Source organism: Homo sapiens, chromosome 12, assembly GCF_000001405.40.
Source record: "Homo sapiens chromosome 12, GRCh38.p14 Primary Assembly".
NCBI lineage: Eukaryota > Metazoa > Chordata > Mammalia > Primates > Hominidae > Homo > Homo sapiens.
The window spans coordinates 42,982,299-42,991,881 of record NC_000012.12 but is presented as its reverse complement, the minus strand read 5'-3'; the positions used below and the strand labels follow the sequence as shown (position 1 = coordinate 42,991,881).

Here is a 9,583-nt window from a genome sequence, read left to right as displayed (position 1 = left end):
TTAGCCTCTACCCTTGTCGAGCTTGTTGTCTTGACCTTCTTGCTACCCTCCTTCCCTGGTTGCCAAAGCCACATGACTCCTCTATGTTACCTCAGTCGTCTCCAGCTGCCTACTGCCTCTCTTCCACTGAGCTCACTCACTTTGTTAGCAGACAGAGCACCTTGAGGCACCTTTTGTGTTGCAGTTTTTTATATTAACCTCAACAGGTTTCCATAAAATGGACCACTAGACAATTCCAGGGACATTACACTAAACAGAACTTGAAATGATCTCCTCCCTAGAAATAGTGACTCCAGACAAAATGTATGTACATTGTCTGCTTTCAGGATGACCCAGAGTTCAATATCCATTTAATCTGTTATGAGATCAAGAAAAATCAGAAGACCAGGTCTCTTACTTGCTATTGGTATTTGAAATCAACTAATTGCTCCCCAAAATTCTTTAATTCATTCATATTAAAAGTGCAATAAAAGGGTAGGGATAAATTTAAGGACTTTGGGTTAAATAGATCATTTCCTCATCATTTTACTCTACCACTGGAAGCTATAATGCAAAAATGACAGGGAATCAATGAATCCCAATGTCTAATTCAAGATTTACTCCTCTTTAATGCCATTTTCAACAATTTCAGAATATAATATCGACAAAGCCAAATGCCACATGACTGGTTAAGATCACTAATTAAATCAACAAATATCTAACAGTTCCTACAGAGAATAAAAATTAGTTCCAATCCCTGCCCTAAGAGTATCAGCATAAGGAGGTGGGAAAGAGCCTAGGTTTTGTGGTCATACACACCTAAGTGCAAATCCCCATTCCACCCCTTACCAACATGGGACCTGGGCAAGTCCCTCAAACTCTCTGAGCCTCAGTTTCTTCACTTTAAAAATGAAGGCAATAATGCGTAGATTAGAAAGATTTCACCAGGATTAAAGGAGATTAGGCACAGATAGTATGTAACCCACTGCCTGGCACATGTGAATTTTCTCTCTGCTAAGTGATTATAAATCCAATAAAGGATTTGGATAAATACACAAATAACCTCAGTAGAAGGCAATAGGAGGGAAATGCAATAATAGCATTACAGTCAAACCATATAGACTTCAAAAGGAGATAGCAGTCCTTGCCATAATCAGAGAAAACTTCAGGAAATAACATCTGAGCTAAGCCACATAGAATGGTTAAGGTCTGGGTAGGTGAAGTTGAGGGAGGACTTTAGAAACAGAGAAGATGCAAGATTCAAGTCTCAGAGGTAGGAAACAGCAGGACAGAGCACTGCCTGAGGGACAGTACTCATCCTGTTGGCATGACAAGACTCAGTGTCATGGTAACAGCTTCAGATCTTCTCACAACCTATAGGTAAAAAGAACTGTAAGACTCAAGCCCAAATTGCCTTTTTCTTTGGAGATGGAGTCTCACTTTGTCACCCAGGCTGGAGTGCAGTGGTGCAATCTCAGTTCACTGCAAACTTCACCTCCCAGGTTCAAGTGATTCTCCTGCCTCAGCCTCCCCAGTAGCTGGGATTACAGGTGCCCACCAGCATGCCTGGCAATTTTTTTGTATTTTTAGTAGAGACGGGGTTTCACCATGTCGGCCAGGCTGGTTTCGAACTCCTGACCTCAAGTGATCCATTGGCCTCGGGCTCCCAAAGTACTGGGATTACAGGCATAAGCCACCGTGCCCGGCCTAGTCATATTATTGATGAGCCAATGATCACAGAATGCTCTTTTCCCTGACTGGCTCAGGCTTAGGAACGTGTTTCTGAAAGCAGAACTATTCAGTTATCCCTGCATCCACCCCTTCTTATATCGCTGTGTCTTGTGCCCTTTTCTCGAGACCTAAATGCCTGTGTCACATCTCAAACCTCTGCTAACAACCAGAAGGTAGGGTCAGTCTTGCTCTCCTACTGACCTTCCTACTATGAGCAATAAAGCTTTTGCTTTTCTCACCTGTTTTCTGGTGGTCTTCTTCTAGAATGTTTGACACCTTTGAGAGAAAAATAATAATCCTATAATATTTTTTCTTTGCTGAAAGCCTTTCCAGGTCCCTAGATGAAGAGGAGACTTTTTGTCCTGGGCCATTTCCCACTAGAGCCACTGACTGCTCCTTCTGAACGTTTCACTACACTTTTTCAGGTAAGGTTCTCAGAGAAAGGCCCTATGCTGGGTTCACACTACAAATTCAAGCACGTCAAGGGGCCCAGGGGTGTTGGCTCTATTTTCAGGGAGGTTGCAGAACCCTCATGGGAAGGAACTGGAGGTTATTACCGGGATGATTTATTTTTTTTTTTTCTATCACTAAGAGAAACAGGAAGAGATGGTTAAGAAAGGGTAGGTTCAAGAGAAACAGAATGAAACCTTTAAATGGCTACAGAGTAAAAGAGACCTTCCCAGCAAGAATGGCCTAGTAAATGGGGGCAAAATTCATGCCATATTCTAGACTCACCATTCAGTCATGGAGAATGTAAAATAAATGTAGATAAATTATTAAAATTGGTGAAGTTGTAAATATCATGTGAAATGGTCTACTCTGGGTCCCCATTTAAATTGCTTTGTAAAAAAATAAAAGCCTCTTGCTTGGCACACTTTCACAGTGAAAGGTTATTATTATCTTTTTAATAAGAAGGAGGACCATTTTATACATATACATGTATTCTTGTAGAAGAAATTAACTTAAACTGTAGAAAGATGAGTTTATTAAAATGCATTGGAATTCTCATGCTATTACATTTTTTAATAACCATCTTGCTTTACGCCGTATACCCCTGTTGGTGTACAGACACATCTGGGCCTCACCCAGGTCAATAGTGATGCTTCAGTGCCTCCTTGGGAATTAGCTCTATATTCCAACACAATTCATTTTTAGTGTAAAATTTGTTTGAGCCATGTGAGTAAAAATATATTTAAATTTTTACATATAAAAGCCAAACTTTGAGCACATTTCTGAATTGCAAATATATGAAATAAGGTCAAAAAGAGAAAAAGGACCCAAATACTTGTGAAAAAATGAATGATTGATGGTCCAAACTGCAGTGCTCTAAAACATAATTGTCTTCCTGTGCCCCAAGGGCAGAACCTTCATCTTGTACATGCCAACCAGTGTATAGTATGAAATAATTTTTCTGAAGACCAAGGATCAATTTGTTTAAAATAATAGAGTAATAAACAATTTAATAAACATAAAATTATTTCTATTGTTTGATGACTTTTTTGTCAGAATTTAAAAAGTATAAAAATGCTTTTGTCAAAGTATAAAATAATATCATATAAATATATGTATATATATATGTTTCTTTTATACATGTTTCTTTTGAGGATGTTTTCAGTCAACTACTATCTAAAGGTAATATCTACTTTTATCAACTACAATCTGAATATATGTATAGATATATATATGTTTCTTTTATATATGTTTCTTTCGAGGATGTTTTCAGTCAACTACTATCTGAAGTTAAAATAAGTTAGAGGAGTTATTGTACATATTTATCTTGTATGCCATATTTTAATCAAATCTTATTATTTACTTCCAATTTAAAAAAAAAAATTCCCTCTCTCTCCATGGATTCTAGAGATACTGTGGGGAGAAAAACTGTAAATAGATACAAAATGTCCATAGTATTTATTTTCATTTACAAGATTTTGTTCTTTTTATAGCAAATCAGATATTGAATTTTTGACAACTCCTAAATCTGTCTATATCAAAGAAGGTAAAGGACATCAGAATTTATATTGATTATTGTCGGAACAAGCTTTTTAGTAATGAAATACGGTATGTTATTTTTAAGTTTTTGTGATTATTTTCCCTAGCCTAGAAAAGCAGGTGGTTAAGAACACTGCTTCAACGTTGTTATTTCTAGGTGTTGTCATTCAGGCAAGAACACCTTATATTTTTACTCTGTTTGCATGGGAATTAAATTATTAAACACTAAATTGTGGATACCAAAAATCCTTAAAAATGGCATTAGAAATCCAACCAGTTGAACAAAAAGAAAGCCATGTACTTTGTTTAAAAATGTCACACAGAGGAGAAAAAAACTGCCTTTCAAAAAGGTGGCAATAGCCCTAGCAGTATACAACTTAACCCACATGGAGAAAACAAACTTCTCAGCTACCTTTTCATGGGGTTTCCCTAAATTCCATTTTATATGCTCACCTTATTAAATCTCCCTAATGTGGCAGTTTGTCTAGAGACTGGGCCCTAATCGAGTCAACCTAGAGTGAGGTAGGTAACAGTAACTGCTGGCACCAGCCTTCTGAGGAGTTATCGTGTTTGAGAAAGAAAACATTGTCAGGGTGGTAGCATAACCCCAAGAGTAATAAAGTGGCCAGACACCTGGAAGCAATTACGTGCATGGCCGAGATTATCCATCATGCTTTGCTCACTGTCTCTCTTGCAAAGACCTTTGTTTTTACACTCTCGGTAGCTAAATTCTGGACTGAAAAGCTTATTTCACAAACGATGTTTTCCACCGAGGCCCTTCCACTTACTGCCATTCCCACAAGATGTCGATCATTTGTTTGCACAGCCCAGCGACAAACCTCAGAGCTGCTGTAATAATAGTTGGTTACTAGGCTTGCAGAAGCAGCGGCATCAATCACACTCCTGCCAGGGCAGAAACAAATGCCCTTTGCCCACCAACACCACTTAGCAAAGCACAATCTGGGTCTCTCAAATGGAAATGTTTAAACACCGCTTTCCATTTAGATCCTAATTTAATATTTTTCTAAATCAGATTATTGCTTGTAAGTCATGATTGTTCAGTTATTTCTGACATTTATTTATCGCTCAGATACCATTATTCATTAGGCTACTGGGTTGCAGCTTATGTCCCAGAATTGAATGCTTTTTTGCTCAGGTCAGAGGGTAACAGAACTGCAGAAAATTACCAGATCTCCCAATAATATTCTAGTGCCCTGAAAACTTAGTCAGCTTTTCAGATATTTTCTCAAATACTTGTTAACCAAGTCAAATAGCATTCTCGTAATGAATAAAAATCCATGAGATTTAGATTCATGCCCTTTGCCAAAAGCCCAAACACATTTCCTGTGAGAGAATTTAAGTTCTATTAAATTGGTTTCAAATTGGCTTTCTCAGTGTGATTTTGATCATTGATCATTTTGCATATCAACTCTGCACAAATGCCCCCTACGAGGAAGCCTGGGTGTTTAGCAAAGGTTTTTGTTTGTTTTTTCATTTTTTTCATTCTTGTGTCAAATGTCTTAGAAGTTTCTCTGAAACCTGCGAGAAATCTCTTCCAAGAAATCTTATATAATGGAATGTGTTTTAAAGCACAAGTTTAGGGTGGTGAATGTAAACTTTTGAGTTTATTAGTATTTACTCAAAGTTCCCACTATCTTGGGAAACATACATGACAACATTCAAATGAAACAGTCCTTATTCCTTTAGGATCTTACATTTGAAAGTTCGCAGTATTAAAAAGCAAACTAACAGCCATAAATACTTTGGAGAATAGGGGAAGGGGTAGGAGTTGGGGAACCCAAATTAGGGCTGTTTGCAAGAAAGAAAATAGCCGAGGCCCTGCGCTGTTTGTCTCCTATCACCACTGATCTCCTCTGTCGGTGGCATAACTTTAAAGGGACTTAGAGTGAGGCTCCCAGAGCAAGACTTTATTTAGGTCCTTCTGTTAGTGCCTCTATAGCATCCAAATGGTTTGATCCTTTCCATTTGGAAAACCAGTTTCAGCTACCACCTATCCAATTTCTGCAAAAGTTGCAACTGCTTCTGTAACCCCAGTTTTGCTATTAGTGGGCCACTTCTGATATAAATGACTTGTTTTAACAAAAGTTCAGCTCCATTTCTGCCAGTTTTCAGTTTCAAAGGAGATTTGTGGAACTAAAGAATTCATATTGGCACATCTATTCTTTCTAAATGAAAATTTTACATTTTAATGTTAACGCAGTTAATAGATTGTCATTCTCAGAAAACTAGAAATGAAAAAGAACCTACCCCTTTTCCATATAAACATCTATTCTCCTCAAATTTTATCAGACCCCAAAGTGATTTCCAGCCCTCCATTTCCTCTTAAATCTTTCAGCTTCTTCCTGCATCTCCTCCACCCCCAGCACCAACCACCACTCACAGCAAACACAGCACTCTGCTAATCTCGGTGGCTGAGGTGGCTGCCTTTGTATTTAAATAGCACTCAGCTGCAGTCTTTCTCAAAGCAATGTCATCACAAGGAGCTCAATGCAAGAATGCTGAAAAGAGCTTAGCAGCTGGGTCTGTATTTTCCCTTGTTTATTCACACAACAACCCACAAGTTAGATAAGCTAGTTCTTCATCAATTCCATTTTTCTTGTTCTGGGAGCCTTATCCCTTAGACTCATTTCTGAAGTAAAAGCCATTTCTCAGCTTCCCTACTCCAGGGTTCAGAAACATTTATATGCTTCCTTTGCCACTATTAACACTATAAATATTTCCAGTTGGCAAAAAAAAAAAAAAAAAAGAAAAATAGAAAAAAAATCCAACTTAGATAAGCTGATTGTGTAAGTGGAATACTGATCTAAAGAAACTAACCATCACTAGATCTCAGCTTTATACCCTCCACGAATCTCTCCCTTGTTGCTAGGTGACCTTTTCATCATTAAAAATGCTGTTCTCATTTCATTAATGTTGTCTATCATCTGGAGGAGTGGTCCCTCAACCTGACAGGGCATCAGAATCACCTGGGGAGATCTTTCAAACTATCCAGGTCCTGCCCCACCACCATCCCCACAAGATTCTGAGTGTTTATTCTGAGTGGGGGCTGGATATTTATATTTTGATAAAGCTCCCCAGGTGATCGTGGTGGGCAGAGATTTTAGGCAACACTGACCTACCCAAACCACTGATTTTTGACCAGCAGGACAGCTGCTAATGACATGCCCAGACCTTTCTGGCCCAGCACTTACCCAGCCCAGTCTCAAGTCTCTGGTTTGGCAGCACTGAAGTTTTGAGAGCCAGGCTTGTACAGTTTGTAAAATTTATCCAGATAATTCTGACATGAACCACCAAATGGGAATCAGGTACAGTGAGGTTTAATAAAAAATAAATATTTCCTAAATATAGCATCATATATTCTTTTTTTTTTTACTTTTAAAGTTCAGGGGTACATGTGCAGGTTTGTTACATAGGTAAACTTGTGTCATGGGGGTTTGTTGTAGAGATTATTTCATCACCCAGGTATTAAGTCTAGGACCCACTAGTTATTTCTCCTGATCCTCTCCCCCTTCGCACCTTCCACACTCAGGTAGGCCCCAGTGTCTATTGTTCCCCTCTTTGTGTCCATCTTTATCATCATTTACCTCCCACTTACAAGTGAGAACATGCCATATTCGGTTTTCTGTTCCTGCGTCAGTTTGCTAAGGATAATGGCCTCCAACTTCATCCATATTCCTGCAAAAGACATGATCTTGCTTTTTTTTAATGGCTCCATAGTATTCCATGGTGTCTATGTGCCACATTTTCTTTATCCAGTCAACCATTAATGGGCATTTAGGTTGATTCCATGTCTTTGCTATTGTGAATAGTGCTGCAATAAATATATGCATGCATGTGTCTTTATGACAGAAGGATTTACATTCCTTTGGGTATATAGCCAGTAATGGGATTGCTGGGTCGAATGGTATTTCTGTTTTTAGGTCTTTAAGGAATTGCTACACCGTTTTCCACAGTGGTTGAACCAATTTACACTCCCACCAACAGTGTATAAGCATTTCTTTTTCTCTGCAATCTCGCCAGCATCTCTTATTTTTCTGACTTCTTACAATAATAGGCATTCTGACTGGTGTGAGATGGCATCTCATTGTGGTTTTGACTTGAATTTCTCTAATGATCAGTGATAATCAGCTTTTCTTCATATGAGTGCTGGCCCCATGTATGTCTTTTTTTTGAAAAACATCTGTTCATGTCCTTTGCCCATTTTTAATGTTTTTTTTTCTTGTAAATTTGTTTAAGTTCCTTATGGAGCTGAATATTAGACCTTTGTCAGATGCATAGTTTGCAAAATGTTTCGCCCATTCTGTAGGCTGTCTGTTCACTCTGCTGATAGTTTCTTTTGCTGTGCAAAACCTCTTTAGTTGCATCATATATTCTAAACTCTGTAATCTAGCCTGCATATCCACACATTTCAGTCATTTGGAAGTGAGGACAATGAAGAACCCAAATCATGAAACAATCACTGAGAGGCCGTTTTGTGTCTTCACCTGTCTTCCAACAACAATGTTTAATAAACTAGTCCCCAGACAGTAGCATTTCCAGTTTATATTTAAAACCGTACAGCATAAGGAGGGCCCATAAACACCCTCAGGTGTCTAGTTCAGGATTTAACAGCCTTGATTTCCCAGACAGCCTTTCCTCTACATCAAAACCTGCATCCTTCTTGTTGCAGGTTAGGCCTTTTGTTCCTACCTTCAGCAGAGATGGAGAACAACAGATGGTGGCAAACGCAGAAATCTGGTAATGGATGTAGGATCAGTTTGTGCCTTGTATCGCTGTGATCAACACCACTACTAAATCCCCTTTTTGCTCTCTATGGTAGGATCATAGTGACAGCCCAATTTATCAACTGTGAATATTGGCATAAACAACTTCAAGGCTGGGATATTTTTCATACTCCCTTGAAAACTGTCATCAGTTCTGTAGAGTAGTAAGGAAACCATTGATCCATTTAAGAAACTGTCAGCAGGTGTACAAAGAAGTGAAAGATGGATGCTTTCGAAAGGTCTTAAGAAGGGAGGCTCCAGCTGTCTGAATACATGACTTCTCATCCGCAGTCTGACTAGCCATGGAGCAAGGGAAATTGCGAGGCAGAGTGGAACTCTCAGCACTGCATTTATCAGCATCAGGAACAATTCACTTCAGAAGGAAATTTCCAGACACACATTCCTTAGTTGTGAAGTATTTGAATTATAGCAATGTCGTCTGTGCCACAATTATCCAAAGTGCCAACTTTTGGATTATAAACTTTTGTCTCAGAAACTTCAAACTGAGTCCTCCAACCCCTACTTCCCTAAAATGATTAAAACCCACTACTTGGCATCATGCTATCCATCTTAAACACCAGCAGATCATCTGGAGTTTCAGACATCATGTATGTCATTTTTATGCCACTTACTTATGGAAAAAATATGTAGGTTTTCCTTATTTAGAGACATTTTGGTGATCTAGCAGCTTCGCTTTAACATGGCACTGACCACAAATCTAATTCCCATCAAGTGGCTACAATATCAAGTGATTTGATTAAAAATCAGTCTTAGCCGTTAGCCATCAGAAATTCTGATAGAGAGAATCAAGTGTACATTACCTCCAAAACATCATAACATCATTTGGTCTTTTTCATACAGGCTTGTTCTGGGAGATATTTTTAAGTAGTAGATATAAAACAATTTCAAAAAATTTGAAGTACTGCACAACTATAGTATTAGTATTGCGCATTGTAGGTTTAGTTTTTCAAGTAGTATGTTGCAAACAAAAGCAGGTCAATTTGGGACTTATTTTAGTAGTATCTTAGTAATGTCACATGTTATTAAAATTAGGATTGAGTTTTTTCACTACAATGCCCTTTTGTGTTGTCTGTGTTTTT

At 38.3% G+C, this 9,583-nt stretch overlaps 1 annotated feature.

Moving 5' to 3' along the window:
- Positions 5,865–6,457: an enhancer, noted in NCBI's record as "OCT4-NANOG hESC enhancer chr12:43379228-43379820 (GRCh37/hg19 assembly coordinates)". NCBI's record gives its function as "activates a minimal SCP1, AML or CMV promoter by ChIP-STARR-seq in naive and primed H9 embryonic stem cells {active_cell/tissue: H9 hESC(naive and primed)}" and the evidence as "EXISTENCE:reporter gene assay evidence [ECO:0000049][PMID:30033119]".